The 16714-nt window shown below is 46.4% G+C and overlaps 2 protein-coding genes across 2 annotated transcripts in view, besides 2 other annotated features; both read right to left on the bottom strand.

Moving 5' to 3' along the window:
* Window positions 1-16714, bottom strand: part of TBCEL-TECTA (TBCEL-TECTA readthrough) — a 167389-nt gene that overhangs the window by 54787 nt on the left and 95888 nt on the right. Inside the window, exons 14-16 of the mRNA NM_001378761.1 lie at window positions 10832-11402; window positions 8360-8952; window positions 6493-7066 (exon numbers count right to left, since the gene is read on the bottom strand). Of these exons, the coding sequence (NP_001365690.1) occupies window positions 6493-7066; window positions 8360-8952; window positions 10832-11402 (1738 nt within the window). The remainder of the gene's footprint in view (window positions 1-6492; window positions 7067-8359; window positions 8953-10831; window positions 11403-16714) is intronic.
* Window positions 1-16714, bottom strand: part of TECTA (tectorin alpha) — a 90248-nt gene that overhangs the window by 54787 nt on the left and 18747 nt on the right. Inside the window, exons 8-10 of the mRNA NM_005422.4 lie at window positions 10832-11402; window positions 8360-8952; window positions 6493-7066 (exon numbers count right to left, since the gene is read on the bottom strand). Coding sequence (NP_005413.2) covers window positions 6493-7066; window positions 8360-8952; window positions 10832-11402 — 1738 coding nt within the window. The remainder of the gene's footprint in view (window positions 1-6492; window positions 7067-8359; window positions 8953-10831; window positions 11403-16714) is intronic.
* Window positions 6060-7259: an enhancer, noted in NCBI's record as "P300/CBP strongly-dependent group 1 enhancer chr11:121000154-121001353 (GRCh37/hg19 assembly coordinates)". NCBI's record gives its function as "activates an origin of replication core promoter dependent on BRD2, BRD4, P300/CBP, MED14 and CDK7 cofactors, with strong dependence on P300/CBP, by STARR-seq in HCT116 cells {active_cell/tissue: HCT116}" and the evidence as "EXISTENCE:reporter gene assay evidence [ECO:0000049][PMID:35650434]".
* Window positions 6178-6678: an enhancer, noted in NCBI's record as "H3K4me1 hESC enhancer chr11:121000735-121001235 (GRCh37/hg19 assembly coordinates)". NCBI's record gives its function as "activates a minimal SCP1, AML or CMV promoter by ChIP-STARR-seq in primed H9 embryonic stem cells {active_cell/tissue: H9 hESC(primed)}" and the evidence as "EXISTENCE:reporter gene assay evidence [ECO:0000049][PMID:30033119]".

Here is a 16714-nt window from a genome sequence, read left to right as displayed (position 1 = left end):
TAACTTAACTTTGGGATGTTATTTCATGTCTTCAGAGCTTCTGTTTCCTCTTTCATTAAGTATGAACCACATTTAGCTAGCACGGTTGTTTTGAGGGTTAATAATCTAATCTATCAAGAGGGTCTCCATCAATGGTATGCCTTGCTCCTCTTTGTACCTCCTTCTATTACACAGACAGGCTATATGTAGGTATTTTTACTCTGCAAATTGGCTTGTAGACTCTCCCTTTGTCTTTCATTTCTCTGTTCCTGGTGCCCTCTGGCCTCGTCCACCTCCTCATCATTCTCTGCAAAGGAGGTCATCACCCCGCAGCCCCTTTGCTCATGCGCTTTCCCCTTCCTGGACAGCCCCCCACCCACAAAGCCAAGTCCCACCCATCCTTCAAGTCTCACTTCAAATTGCCCATCTTCCCAGAAGCCTTCCTTGAAAGATCAAGACTCTTGGTCAAAAAGCACAGCACACACTTGTAAATCCCAGCACTTTGGGAGGCTGAGGCGGGTGGATCACCTGAGGTCAGGAGTTCAAGACAGCCTGGCCAACATGGTGAAACCCCATCTCTACTAAAAATACAAAAAAAATTAGCCAGGCGTGGTGGTACACACCTGTAATCTAAGCTACTCGGGAGGCTGAGGCTCTAGAATCGCTCGAACCTGGGAGGTGGCAGTTGCAGTGAGCAGAGATTGCGCCACTGTACTCCAGCCTGGGTGACAGAGCGAGACTCCGTCTGGAGAAAAAAAAAAAGCACATAAAATGATAATACCACGGGATACTCACCATGTAGTGGTAGGCATACTTCCTATTTCTCACTATTACTTTAATGGGTCACAATTTGCCAGAGGCAGGGACAGAACTCAGGAGCACAGAAGAAGCCTCCTACAAGTCTGTGCGATCTAAAGATCAGCGAAGTCCCCACCATCTTCTGGGAAAATAAGATCTCGCCTTTAAAACTTTCTTTGGCTCGTATACATACCATCACTCCTTAATACTGTTTTACAATCCAAGGACACGGAGGACATTACAGAGAAATAAATTGCATGGCAATAATAGTTCTGCCCACAAGTACCGATACAACAGTTCTGCACTGTGGACTGAAAGCCAATCATTTTTTCCTCTGCGCTAAAGGACTATCTCCACTCCCATTGACTACAATACCACACGGCTTTGGAGTTGAAGGCTAGTTCAGCACTGATTATATATGTCTGTGTAGAGGGATTTTCACATTTGTCTTTAAATTATGAATGTTCTAACACTGACTGCAGATTTATGGTGATAGCAAATAACATGACTTATTTAAATGGCTCTCACTTTATGACTTATTGTGTTGTCTGAATTTGTCTGAAAGTCTGGAACACACAGACGTGGAGTAATAGAACTTCCCCTAGGCCCCGGAATGCCTGTGTGAAATTATTTAATTGGGCAGCCTGGCTCTGCCAACAGGAGGGCCAGTTAAAAATATCTGAACACAGAGGCAGCAGTTGTCTCTCTAGGTTCAAAGAAGATTGTGTTCCTGATTCACAGCTGTCATCCAGTTTGATCCCCACCATGCAAGACTCCGACCAGATTAATCCCTTAGTGCTCGGCGGCCTGACGAATCAAGTGCGTGCTATCCAGTGCTACTCGCCAGAACCATGTGCACAAGATCTAGATAAGACATCCTGGGGGACATCTCAAGTAGGAGCCCTGGCCCTCAGCCCAAGAAAGCCATGTTCCATGTGACTGCTTCTGCCCACATCTTCCCTAAAAAAGACACTGATAAGAGCTTCCTCCAGGTCTGCTGGCCCAGATGAGGGATAGTGAGAAGCTTTTCTCAGTAGCTGTCACATGCAGGGAAACAGGGAATATCACCATCACGCCCTGCTAACTTGGCACACACGACGCTACCAAACTGTGCTCCATGCAGCACAAAAATAACTCAAACATCCCCTGCCAGGTAGGAGTTAGCAGTCTAAAAGGACGGCACTGAAATGGCCTGGCAACAGAACAGATTTGGTATAGGGGAGACTCGGCAATCCTGTAGCATGAATGAAATACAACTGGGAGGCTCAATGTGGGAGCAGAAACAGAGATCGTGTTGGATAAGCTGGAGATAGGACAAAAGAGGATATAGGGAGGTGGATGAAAAAAAAAAAGACTTTGGGAAAGTATGATAAGGTCCCACCGGATGTGGTGGCCGACAGAAGCCGTGGAGGCTCTCCTGCTGTAGGTAGCTCTGGAGTCCCAGCATCTGCTATTAGTCCCTCCCCGGGGGCTCACCAGGGACACAACTGCCCTTCTGAGATGACAACCACTAAGCTCTCCACATGCTCCTTGGATTTCCCAAGGTCAGGAATCATAGAGTTAAAAAGAAGTGTGTGCGTGTGTGTGTGTGTGTGTGTGTGGTGTTGGTTTTCAGCTCCGTCTGTTGAAAGGACCTAGAGGCAAAGCAAAGATGCCCCAACAGCAACAGGGACACCTCCCTTACATCTTGGTTTCTAATAACATTCCCCACTCACCAGGGCTTCTTGGAGTCAAGCTGATTCCAGCATGGGGCAGGGAAGATTAAAAGATGAGCGCGAAGCACCCTGTTATGCCAAAAGGAAGAAAGTGCTCAAAAAAAATGACAGAGGCATGCTGAAGGGACACAGGAGCCAGCTTGAAGGAGATCCTACAGGCCAATCCAGAGCAATTTTAACACCAAAAATAATTAATACATGGAAGATGAAATATAGATGAAATATAGACCACTGGAAAAAACAGGCATCCATGTCCAGATTGATAAGATGACCGATAGACAGACAGATAGACTGACAGACAGGATATTTGCACACTCTTAAAGTATTTCCCCATGGGTTGCTTATTAGTTGCAAGGGAAAGCTCACAGTGACTCTGCAGCAGAGACATTTGCTAACACCTTGACCAGGGAATCAACATGCACATCACCAATGAGGGGAGGCTGGACAAGATCGTGCTTCCGTGTGTGCTGTGATTCCATGAGAAAAACCACATGGCACCTGCCCGGGAGGCTGAGTGGAGATGCACAGCTGAAGATCCTCAGGATGGAACATCAACCCCAATGGAGGGTCATTCTGTTTATGGAGGATCATTCTGTTTCAAAAGGCAGGGAGGCTGTGTTCTTCAAAAATGCCCATATCAGAAAAGACAAAGAAAACTAAGTCATTGTTCCAGATTAAAGGAGACTAAAGAGACACGACAATGAAATGCAACGTGTGATTCTAAATTAGGTCTGTACTGAGTTCCCCATCCTGGCACCCCAAAAGAACCGTAAAGAACATTGCTCAGTCAACTGACAAAATTGGAATATGGATGTTAAATTACTATATCAATGTTAAATTTCCTAAGGTTGAAAACTGTACTGTGGTTATGTATATAAATGCCCCTACTCTAAGGAAATACATACTGAAGTTTTACGGGTAATGAGGCATGAAGTCTGCAACTCACTCTCACATGAAGGGCAGGGAGGGAGGAAGGAAGAGACAGGGAAAGGGAGGGAATGATAAAACAAATGAACAAATGTTATTAATAGGTTAATCTGGGCAATGAGTTTACAGGTGTTCTCTTATGTAGTTTTGAAATTATTTCAAAATAAGAAGCTAAGAAAATAAGCAAACAGGAGGAAATACAATGGGCCAGGTTTCTCACTCTCAGATAAAAGAAACTAAAAAATGGAAAACTGGCCGGGCGTGGTGGCTCACGCCTGTAATCCCAGCACCTTAGGACACCAAGGTGGGTGGATCACGAGGTCAGGAGTTCAAGACCAGCCTGGCCAAGATGGTGAAACCCCCGTCTCTACTAAAAACACACACACACAAAAAAAATTAGCCAGGTGCAGTGGCAGGCACCTGTAATCTCAGTTACTCGGGAGGCTGAGGTAGAAGAATTGCTTGAACCTGGTGGGGGCAGAGGTTGCAGTGAGCTGAGGTCATGCCACTGCACTCCAGCCTGGGTGAGAGAGTGAGACTCCATCTCAAAAAAAATTAAAAAAGGAAAACTAGAAAACTCTGCGGTATTGGACTGAAACTGTAGGTTCAGTATGAACTCATGGTGAGATAGAGACAGAAACAGATAAAAAGAGAGAGTAACACACCTAGCTACATAAAAATGTGTATGGAGGGTGTGTATAGGCACATACATGCACTTCCTCACTCTCTCCACTAAGGAATGCTAGAATCAATGACACTCTAGGAAGAACGGGCACACCTGACACCCAGATCCTATCTCCTCAACACTACGCTCCACTCGAAGGAACCAGAGATCCTTGGAGAAATGGCTAATCCAAGGCTAGAGCAGAGAAAGTACAAGATGAGCCCGGAGTACATCGTGCCTCGTGGAAAGCAACGAATGATGAAGCAAATGTCAACAGAAACCATTGCTGGAGGGGACTCCCACTGGCCGTATATGGAACAATTTGAGCATAAAACAAATTATGATAACAGATACAATCGGTTAAGTAGGAATCCATGAGTCATCTAAACAAATAAAAAGAAACAAATGGGTGAAAAGGACATCTCTTTACAGTAGAATGCCAACTAATGAATGCAGGAGCCATTGAATTAGAAAAAAATTGCCATTTCACAAACAGTAATAAATGATTCAGACAAAAATCATCACTGGATACTAAATCTAGTGTATGCAAGTTCAAGGAATAGAATAGCTACCTAAATTTAAAGTATTTCCCTGAAAAATATGTATTAATTATATGATTAAAAAACAGTAACTTTCAATGGAGAAATCTGACAGACACTACCTTAAGCAAGCGATCGAATCTATCATGCTCAGTGTAACGGGACAAACCAACATCAGAGGCCTCCAGATATGACACATTGAGAAGACGCATCATTGCTTTTGTGGTATTCCTGCCAAAAATGCATAATTTCAATGGAACCAGGAAGAAATATAAGCCAACTCAAACTGAGAAACAGTCTGCAAAATAACTGGCCTGTACTCTTCAAGAACGCTAAGACAATGAAAGTCAAAGACTGAGGACCTACTCCAGATTAAAGGCGTCTACAGAGACATCATAATAAGATGCAACATGTGATCCTGGATTGGATTCCAGGGTTTGTTTTTTGTTTTGGCTGTAAAAGACATTATTGGAACCACTAACAAAATATGAACATGGTCTTCAGATTACATAATAGTATTGTATCAATGGCAATATCCTGATTTTAATGATTATGTTATGGTCATATAAATGTGCTTATTCTTAGGAAACACACTGAAATATTTAGGTACAAACAGGCATAATGACAGCAACTTACTCTCAAGTGGTTTAGAAAAAGAGTGAGTATATTTTCAGAGACAAAATTAGAAAGAAAATGTGTTACAATGTTAACGATTCGGGAATCTGAGAGAATGGTAGACTGTCTTATTCCTGCAACTTTTCTGTAAGTCTAAAATTATTTCAAATTAAAAAATACTTTTGCCAATTAAAAACGGAGGACAGATAAATAGCCGTCAGGGATGAATCCTTTTTTTTTTTTTTTTTTTTTTGAGATGGAGTCTTGCTCTGTCGCCCAGGCTGGAGTGCAGTGGCGTGATCTGGGCTCACTGCAAGCTCCGCAGCCCAGGTACAAGCGATTCTCCTGCCTCAGCCTTCCAAATAGTTGGGACCACAGGCCCCCGCCACCACGCCCGGCTAATTTTTTGTATTTTTAGTAGAGACAGGGTTTCCCCATGTTAGCCAGGATGGTCTCGATCTCCTGACCTCGTGATCCACCTGCCTTTGCCTCCCAAAGTGCTGGGATTCCAGGCGTGAGCCACCATGCCCGGCCGGGGATGGAATCTTAATGGTGGCCTTGGCTTTGGTGTGGGGCCCACCTTTGTGGTGGGAGAGGGTTGTGTGCTGAAGGCCAGATGAGGCAGTTCTTGCTCCACGAGTGAGTCCTGCTTTCTGCCATGTTACTTCTCCCTGTGGCTTCCCTGATAATCAAGGGTGTTACGTATCAGGTCTTCCCAGAAAGTTTTCTAATTACTACTAGTACTTGCCACTGCATTGCTGAGAGGGGTCAGATACTTTCGGGACAAAATTAAAAGCCAGCAACACAGGACTCTCTTAATACCCATTGTCAGGTTTGCCCTGGGGAGCATGCTAATCTCCATGCCCCAAAGGTGCCCTGGCCGATCACTTCCTATCAAAATCAATGGGGCTCTTCTTTGCCAAGGGAGAAGGCACCTACAGAGCCATCACAAAGATTTCTAGTCCTTTGACATGGTGCCTCTACCCTCTGCTAGATAAAACCACATGCAAATAGGATGGTTAATTGTTCTGCAGTGAGGAGGTACTGTGCAGTTAGGAAAAAAAGTAAAGATGAGAGGCTCTCCGGTTTGGGGTGATGAGTCTTTGGGAGGACACATCAGACTAGGGTAGGTATACACAGTAATTAACATCACCCTTGAGCTCAGTCCCACCTGGAAGGGAAGTCCTGAGTAAGGCCCAGCATGGCACCTATTTCCCAGCTAGAAAGCCTCTCCCAGAATCCAACCCCAACTTACGGCAGAAGTCATAGGTCCGCCAGGGCCCCACCTCCACGTCCGCATTCTTGCAGGCGCTTGCATACCGGGCCACAGAGTCACAGAGCTCTGACTCATTGCCCCCACTCTGGCACAGGCGGAAAAGGCAGGTGCGGTAATAGGCAGTGACGTTCACCACCCCATGGCACTCCAGGAAGGAGCTGTTGGAGGGGTCGTTGATGATGCCGCACCTGGAGCGGCTTCGATAAAACTTGAGCAGCTCCGAGTCATTGTTGCAGGCCTTCAGCAGGTCCCCACACTCTCCATTGCAGATCTCCTCGAAAGTTGTCCAGCTTTCCAGGAACACTGCCAGGTTGTCCGTGCACTTGCCGTTGGGGAGACAGAACTCGTCACTGGCGTTGGCATTGTAGAAGCCGCACAAGCCCCCTGTGCAATTGAAGTATGTGGTGGACAGCCGGATGTACAATAGACCTATGTCTGAGTACTGGACAGTCACCACGCCCTTGGACTCCACTGTCGTACTGTTTTTGTTTCGATAAATTTCCAGCTTCCCCGAAGGATGGAAAAAAGGCAATTCCACTTCCTGACCATTCAACTGAAAAATCAAGTCATTCTTATCAATTCCAGAGACACACAGAGCACTTTCCATTTCCTAGGCTGTGGGATAAAGACACGGTCTGCCCTATTGCTAGCCTTTTGAGAGAGGTCAAGAAGCTGATGGAACCCACAAAGATACCAACCGATTTGTCATGGGCTTCTTTATTTATTTCTTTTTGGATTCCCCTGATTAGACCCATTTGCTGTTTATTTGTGTGTTCTGGACCCAAAGCTAGCCCAAAACAAACGAAACTAAAGTGTGAGCAAAAATCGTCTTAGATACGTGGCTCCCTCCTGCCGCCTGGCATCTCTGTTTTGGTACCTTTCAAAATAGCTCCCCTCCTTCCCTGCCTTTCTGGCTGCTTTTCTCTTCCAGTCTTACTTTTTCTGTGTCCCAGCTCCTCGAGGGCACATAGCATATCTCTAATGATCTAGCTGTCCATTCTTCTATCTACTTCCTACTAGTCTATTAATAAATAAATCTCTGCCAATGTGGCAATGAGAATAAAAACACATCCCTTCCAGTTTGTGGATGCGTATTTTATTATCTCCTTGGGCAGTACTGTGTTGGCTTTTGTTTTCCAAACTAGACTTCAGGTGACATAAAATGCATGTTGCATCCCCGTTCTGCAACAATTAGCTGTGGGACCTTCACTTACCCTTTTAGTAAGTGTCTTCATGTGAAATGAGGAGTTGCACTAGATAATTCTCAATATTCCTTCTAGAGCTAAGGATCTATAAGTCTGGGTGCCTAATGATGGGTTTTTCAGAGCAAGTCAGAGGGGTGGGAGTCACCCCTTACATCACCCCACATAGACTGGCATGTATAGGTAGGGGAGTTAGTAGGGTGCAAGGGTTAAGAGCGCAGATTCTGGAGCCAGCCAGGCAGGTGTGAATCTCCCTTCACGGTTAGGTGTCCCTGTGGAAGTTACTTAGCCTCTCTGCTCCTCAGCTTTCTCATCTGTAAAATGAGGATCATAAGATGAAGTGTGATACTGCTTATAAGGGGCTTAGAATAGTGCTTGGCACATAGTAAGTGTTCTGTAAGTATTTGCTATTCCGGAGAGCTAGTCCTGCTCTATCTAATTGGAGAAATCCCAGCTGCATGCCATTTCTCCACCTGATAATTCTTATTTGGTGCAGATCATTAGAAAACGCTCCCGTTTGGAGCCATCTTCTTTCTAAAATCCACTCATAGGCAGAGGCAGAAAGGCAAACCTGAAGAGGATGGCGAGCTCCTCCTCCTGGCTGGACGTACCAGGAACCCCTCCAAAGGAGCAAGGAGCCTTACCTTGACTTCCGAAGCCCCGATGCCTCCTATCTTGACCTCCTGGTCGGCCACCAGGATCCGAAGTCCCCGCAGCCAAGCAGGTCCTGCATCGGGCTTCTTCTTGTTGATGTCGATTTCCAAGTACTCTGGGCGCTCAGGGCAGGTCTTCAGGAGGGTGTAGGAGAACTCGGAGGGGAAGGCGTAGGAGGCGCCGTCAAAGGTGTGCAGCACCTGGTTCTGGCTGAGCAGGCACACGGTCTCCCGCTTGGGGAAGCAGCCCTGGTAGCCGTCCTCCACGGCGCACACCTCCCCGCTGCCGCAGGTCTTGTTGAAGCAGTAGACGTCCCCGCCCTCCTCGCACAGGCATTGCACAGTGCAGTTGGCCGTGGCCCAGAAGAACTCCCCCATGGTGTAGTAGTGGCCGTCGAAGTCGCAGCCGCACTTGTGCAGAGGGACGCACTGGCTGGTGCTGAGGACGAAGCCCTGGTTGCACTCGCAGCCCTCTGTGCACGGCGTGGCGCAGTTCCGCGAGGCCGTCAGGTCGGAGCATGTGTCGGGGCAGCTGCTTGTGCACACGGAGTAGTGGCTGAAGCTCGGGCACTGCACTGTGGACACTGACGCGGGGAAAGGAAGAGAGCCGATAACAAGGTGAATGGACCCGGAGTGCTAACCCGCCAGAATCTTAACGCTCCTCCTGGATCATTTAGTTCCTAGAGTGAGGGTCAAGCGGCCACTCGGGGAAGACAGAATTGAGGTTGTATCTGTAAAACCCAGCTCAATGACTCTCCTAATAACTACTGAGCAGCATGATTGGACTGTGAACTTCTATTGGAATTTGATCATCTTGACTAAAATTAAACTTTCAGGATGCCATCCTTTCTAGACTACTGATTACCCAATATAGGTTTATTATTTGATGATCCACACTACCGAGATATTTTAAGACCTTCCACTGATGGACATATAAATTGATCTGATTTTAAAGAGCATGGTCCATTCTTAGAAGGAAATAAATCCAATTTTCAGGAGAAATGAAAAATGTAACCATTAGAGGAGTAATTTGAAAACGTGAAATTTGTAACAGGGAGGCACTTAAAATACCTAAGTGTGACCAAGGAAGGCTGTGGGGATGAATTCCCTGGGATATTAAAAATAAGAAAGCGCCCTGGCTACCTCCAAAGAATTCAAAGAATTTGTGTGGCTGTTTCTCCAGGAGACAAGGTAAGATGTCTTCTAAAGGCCCTTCTTGCCTTAGAAATCTTCGGTTCTTGCTTTAATAACATCTGGGTCTACATAAATGTTTGAGTCTGGTTGAATCCAACAAGCAGGGGCTCAGGGGCCTAGCAAACTAGCTCTCTGAATTAAACAGAGTCCATTGAGCCAGAAAAGAAAGCGAAATGTAGAGGATGGGAAAGTAGTGCCACTAGAAAATATATATCTGTGGCCATTGTAACATTTTAGTCAGGTAATTTGGATGCTCTTGTAAGGATCAAAGAGAAGCCATATTCAATCTCAACTTGAATCCAAATATGGATGCTCTGGTCATAAGAGAGGCTGGTCAGTCACACAGCAAGAATACAGTTGCTTGTATTGTAGTTTGACCAAAACTCTTAAGAATTGAACCTGATACATTATGGTTTATGTGACTCCAACTTATACTGATGGGAAGAATTCTCCCTCTAGCCTTGGAACTTAAAGAAACTTTTAAATCTTCTCACCTCCCTAGCACTCTCAAATGCATGGATTACAATTTTCTATTTACTCATATGGAGAAAACCAAGGACTAGGAAGGAAACGAAATCTATTTGTTTTTAAACTGTGTATAACTAGAAAAAGAAATAAATTTTAAGTGGGATACAGGGAAAAAGTACTAAGACAATTAAATGGTACAAAATGCTTAATCCAAAAGTGTAATTCAAAAGAGCCAGGATTTCCCTCAAAGTTGGGGCTTTTCCTAACCACTCCTAATATTTAAGAAAAAGGGCTTCTTTACTCATATGCTGTACTCCTCATCTGCAGCAGCAGCAGGGCACAAACCCTTAAGGGTCTGACAGTGGAGAAGAAAGTGCCAGGAACAATTGCTACAGGTTCCATGTGGAAGGTGACCTATTTTCCCAAGGGCTAGTTTTGATGACCCAGGCCCACAGCTGCATTAACTCAACAGCCACAAAAGTAGCCACCTCCACCTCTGGACAACCCACCTCCTCACTCAACTCTGGAGCTGCCGTCCCCTGCTGTGGGACTTCCTGCCATGCCTTTCATGTTTCCAGACCATGTATGTTCATCAATGGGTTCTTGTTTCCTGGTTGTGGTATTAGGTGGGGGCAAAAGTAAAGATCCTTTCACAATTCGTTCTTTGTAATTTGTGCAATTTCAACCTCCCCCTCATTCTTGGGTCACAAGTCTTAACAAGGACATTTGGAGGAGCCCCCAAAGCCTATCCCTGCCCCCTGCACAAGAGAGACCTGTCATGGGGATGGGATGCCAGCTTACCACACCCAGTCTGGGTTCGCCAGTCTCCAATTGGAATGCCAAGGGCTTGGCACACAAGAGCATAGGCCTGGATGGCTTGGCAGAGGAGCGTGCCATTGTCCCTCACACTGCACAGGTCATACACGCAGCTGTGCACAAAAGCAGTGGGGTCCACGACAGTGCCACACTCCCACAGAGGGCCGTCTGTCTTGTTGAGGAAGCCGCAGTAGTCAGAGCCAAAGTAGAGGGCTTCAGTGGCAGCGTCGCACTGGGTGCAGTTGTCGACGCAGCCGGAGTCGCACTTCCAGTCTGCGTGGTACACACGCCAGCTCTCTCCCAGATCCAGGACAGACATGGCCGGCCTGCCATCCGGGCGGAGGAAGTCATCCAGTGGGTTTTTATTATAGTTTCCACAGAGTCCACAGGTGGAGTTTATATAGGAGCCTGGGACGGAAATGGAGGCGTAGTGCTGGCCATCAAAAGTCACTAAGAGCCCAAAATCTGTTTCCACGGCAGTAGATATGCCACTCTGGTAGATTTTCACTGTCCCCAAGTCTAAGGTGACAGGCAAAGAAGTCACTAGGTCATTAACCTGCCAACAACAGTAATAGTGAAAGGCAGGTGAGCAGGTGCCCAGGCACTGGGTTCCAGCAGAGATCAGGAAAGGAAGGCAAAGCAACTCAACACTCCAGAGAGAATGGCCACCTAAACGGTCCAGGCTCCAGTGGGCTTCCCTCTGATTAAGGCAAAGGCCGGGGGGGAAATGGAGAGAGCTGCTTGTGGGCCAGCCCACGCACTGTGTATATGGGCTGTGATTGCTGTGGCATACAGAGTGCCACTACGGACTCCTCTGGGGACTGTGTGGTTGTCAACATTTCCTGGCTGGCTCTTGGCTAGCTTCATATCTTTTCTTCAAAGACCAGTCACCTCCCTTTTCCTCTGCATTCCTCTAAATATCCATTCTTTAAGTCTCAGCTTAAGTCATGCATTTTCCAGGACCCCCTTCCTGCCTTTAGTCCTCCTCACCCCACTCTCAGCTCGAGTGTGTGCTGGGTCCACTGCTGGACACCATTTAGCTTTGAGGCTGTCCTGATGTAGTATTCTCCAAGTGTTGTACTCTGTAACTTCCTTGTATCAGAACTACGTCATGTAACCATTCAACAACAACACAATTAAACACCTGCTAGGTACCAAGCACTATGTCAGGAACTGAGATGTAAAGGGTTAAAAAACATAATTGCCCCTGCCCCTCAAGGAGCCCTCAGTCTGCTGAAGAAGAGGGACATGCATCGATACTTACAGCATACTCTTTAACTGTGAGTCAATAGAGGATAAAATGGGAGAGCAGTAAATGAACATTGAATCCAGCATAGGGGAATCACATAAGTTTTTTAGAAGCAGTTAAGTCTAACCTGGGTCTTTAAAGATAAACAGAAGTGGCCAAAGGAAGAGTGGGGGAAGGGCAGAGAAATCCAGGACAAGAGAGCAGAGGCAGGAGGGTGAGGAACAGCTGGGTGGGGTTGGGGGGCAGACACTGAGGTGTTACTGGACTACAGAGGGAAGAGATGGCTGAAGATGAGGCTGGAGGTACAGGCAAGGTCCATTCATTCTACAAATACGCATTTATGCCTTTCTATGTACTTGGCACTGTTCTAAGAGTTGGGGATTAGCAGCAAGTGAAATGAACAGAAATCTCTGCCTCGTGGAACTTACATTTTAGCTGGGGAGACCAACAACAAGCAAAATAAATGAGTAAAACTCATGTCAGATGAGTGTTAATGCAGAAAAATAAAGAGCAGGAAATACTTTTCTAAAAAGTGCTAAGGAAAAGTGTTTCTAATTTTAAATAGGATGGTCAGGGAAGACTTCCTTGGGAAGGAGACATCTGAGATAAGGAAGAAATCCATGTGGTTATCTAGGGTGAGAGTGGCTCTTGAGGAGGGAACAGCAGCCCTAGGTTGGGAACATACCTGGGCACTCCCAGGATTACAAGGGGTGTAGGGGACGTGGCTGGAGAGAGACAGCAGGAGAGGGCAGCAATAGATGACGTCAGAGTGAGAAGAGCAGCCAGAACAAGCAGGGCCCGTCAGCCATTGTAAAGACTTTGGCTTTGACTCTGAGCAAGATGGAGAGCCCAGGGAGTGTTTAAAACAAAAAGTCCGCACGATCTGACTTCTGCTTTAAAAGAATTGCTCTGGCTTTTGTGTTGAGAACAGGTCTTGGAGGGCCTTTTAAGCCATGTTAAAAACAAAACAAAAGTTGGATTTCTATTCTGCAGGGAGAGCCCTTGAAGGCTTTTAAGCAAGGGAATGACATCACCAGATTTGTGTTTTAGAAAGCTCCTTCTGGCTAGCGTGAAGAAATTATTGAAGGAAGTTGAGATTAGAAACAGAGAAGCCAGACAGGCAACTGCTGCAGGAGTCCAGGGAGGTGATGAGGATGAAAGCCTAAACTAGCTGCAGACATGAGAGGGAGGGATGAGCTTATAGAACACACACAGCTGGACGTGGTGGTTTTGCAATGGGGCATGAGAAATGAGGGAATAATCAAGAGTGAGCCCCAGGCATCTAGTACGGGTGAGTAAGTGGCTTGATAAGCCTCAAAGAGAGAGAATTAATTTTCTTTTTCACACTTACTATGCCTAGCACCTATGGACATCCATGCTCATGGGCTGGAATGGAATGACTTGTCTTAGAACAGTCCTCGGTGGGCTTGACTATAAGTGCACATAAACTTTCCAGGGTGTCCTGGACCCACACTGATTTCTGGCACATGAGACTGTCTGGCACTCTTACCTGTCATCATTGTTGCTACTTTCTGAGTTGTCTAGGCGATGAGATGATGGTCTGAGCATCCCTTCCAAAATTTACCGTGGCAGGCGCCACATGCAGCTCTCTGTCTCTATAGATTAGTAGTTGGTCCTCACCAGAATCACCCTTAATGGTCCATTCACTACAATGTAGGCTTTTGCTAGAATGTACTTCAAAACTCTTCCAGCCTCTACCAATTACCCAAAGCTGCTACCATTTTTTTTTTTTTTTGAAACAGGGTCTTGCTCTGTCTCCCAGGCTGGAGTGCAGTGGCACAAACGTGGCTCACTGCAGCCTCAACCTCTCTGGCTCCAGTGATCCTCCCATCTCAGCCTCCTGAGTAGCTGGGACTACAGGTGCATGCCACAACACCTGGCTATTTTGGCTTTCTTTTTTTTTTTTTTTTTTTTTGGAGAGACAGGCTTTTGCCATGCTGCCCAGGGTGGTCTTGAACTCCTGAGCTCAAGCAATCTGCCCTCCTTGGCCTCCAAAAGTGCTGGGATTATAGGTGTGAGACGCCGTGCCCAGACTGCTACCACATTTTTAGGTATTTATTACAGCAGCACCCCACTCCTGGTACCAATCTTCTGTTTTAGTCTGTTTGGGCTGCTAGAGCAAAATACCATAAACTGGGTAGCTTATAAACAACTGAAATTTATTTCTCACAGTTCTGGAGGCTGGGAAGTATAAGGTCAGGGGGCTAGCAGATTCATTGTCTGGCGAGAGCCCACTTTCTGGTTCATAAATGGCACCTTCCAGCTGTGTTCACATATGGTGAAAGAAGAAATGAGCTCCCTCTGGCCTCCTTTCTAAGGGCACTAATCCCATTCATAAGGGCTCCACCCTCATGACATAATCACCTCCTCAAGGTCCCACCTCCTTATACCATCACCTTAGGAGTTAGAATTTCAACATATGAATTTTGAGGGGACACAAATATTTAGATCATAGCAATGGGGGAAGGGAATAAGAAAATAAGCTTGAGAAATAAACCATCCTGCAGAGAGCTAGAAGTAGAAAGAAAAACCAAGGAGTTGATTAATTTATTCTTGTCTCCTAGGTAGAGGGTTAGCCAACTCTTACTAGGTGACCTTGCCTATAATATGGCTTTTCCTACCCTAAGAAAAAAGGGAGAGAAGAGCCATATTATAGGGAAGGTCAGCTAGTAAGAGTGCTGAACACTTATCCATTGTTCTGTGCTGGTAAGTGGAAGGGGAAATCTTCCCCAATGTTGGTATAATTATGAATGTCAAATACGTCAACTGCTGAATGGGCTCCTCTGCTCTTACTTAAGCTCCTGCTAGCAAGGGACAAAGTCTTATTGTGTCCCAAAGCAGAAGCCATGGGGTAGGCTGGTTCTGGATATTTCTACAGTCCCCCCACCATCACAACCCTCAGGACGCCAGTTTCCCTGCCTCTGTTCTTGTCGCACTCAGGCTGACCTGACACCTGGGTGACTGTGGGTGTCAGTAATGTTCCAGTTGATACCTTTTTTTTTCTGGCATAAGTGATCATTGCACCCCCTTTCACTCTCCCTATAGAGTCATTGTGCTTGTGTCCCACAGTGCTTAGAGCAGGAGATCCCAGAGAACTCTTGTCCCCAAATGTAATTCCTTGCTTCATTCCTCTGACCCTGTCCTCAACCTATGGTTAGCAGACAGCTGATAAGCCTCGCCTGTTTGCTTGCTTTTCTTCTGCCTGCATTCTGGCCATTTCACTCTTCCACAGTACCTCTCCCAGGATGTGGGTAGGGGCAGGGGGAGGAGGAGAGAAGTGGAGTCACGGAGGCACAGGTCTTGGAACTGAAAGAAAGTTCCATGGGAATGGTCACAGGGAGCCAGCATGCACCGAGCACCTACTGTGTGCCAGGCTTTGTACTGGACATTGCCCTGTGGCTGTTCTATTTAATTCTCATAACAGCCTTAGGAGGTCCTTATCATTTTCTCCTTTTATAGATGAGGAAATTGAGGATGGGGGCTGGTGTGACTTGCAAGTGACAGAGCCTGACCCCTCCTAGTCGAGCTCCAAAGCCAGGTTCTCTCCACTTCTCCCTGCTGCCTGTATCCCAGTGCTGAGGAGAGGCCGCCAAGGCCAGCTACAGCCCAGGAGCTCTGCCTCCTAGAGGGCCCTGTCTCACAAAGAAAACGAAGCTCAAACAGGCCACTCAGCTGGCAGTGGTGGCATAGGAATTTGAACAGGTCCAGCCCTAGAGTCCAAGCTGCTCATCGCCATGGGCTAGTTGGCCTTGGCTCCCTGTTCACTGGAGCACCCTAAACTACTCGTGTTCACGCGGGGAAGAAAGATGAGAACTGGTATTAGCTAGAAGGAGGCGCTTTTTCTAGATGGATTTTTACTTATGCTGCCTTTTTTTGGTCCTACTGGTATATCTAATCCTAAACTGTTTATTTTGTTATTTGAGAACAGTTCAGTGGGGAAAATCCATGTACAGAACCCAGCTCCTAATCCCAGCATATGGAGACAGTGCTGGAGAAGGGGGGTCTGTGTTTTGGAAGAACAGATCTTAGTGGCCATTTCTGGTCTGGCACAGCATGGCTGAAGAAGTCAGCTGCCTCCCAGCATCTCAGGCTCCTTCCTGCTTCCCAGCCCTCTCCCTGCCTGTCCCCACATCACCCTGGGTCGGGGCTCTGCCATCCATCGAGCCAGTCTCCCCAGCAGGGCAGGTGTATTCAGAGACGCTTGGAAACCATTTGGCAAAAGGAAAAGGAAGCCATTGTTAGCTTGCAGTTGGAGTCACATAACCTTTTCTTTCTGAAACATTTACATTCACCCACATCGCCCTGTCGCTACAGAAAATTGAGGAATCCATGCCCTATGCTTGGACGATGGAACAGAGTCACGCAAAATTAGCAGAGCTGCTGGGCCTGAAAGAAATTACGGTGTCCCTTTCCTTCTAAAAAAAAAATCTGACTGAGAATAAAAAAGAATTTTAATCAAAATACAAAATAGGAATAAAGCATGAAGCCTTCTTTTTCAACTACTGATATACACATCATCCCCAAATACAGGAAAGTAGGGGGAAGCTAGTGAAAATTTTTTCTAGCTTGAAATGCCAGCATCTATCTACAAGGATAAG

Source organism: Homo sapiens, chromosome 11, assembly GCF_000001405.40.
Source record: "Homo sapiens chromosome 11, GRCh38.p14 Primary Assembly".
Classification (NCBI taxonomy): Eukaryota; Metazoa; Chordata; class Mammalia; order Primates; family Hominidae; genus Homo; species Homo sapiens.
Note: the sequence above shows the minus strand (reverse complement) of the source record. Positions and strands in the feature narration are given on the sequence as shown.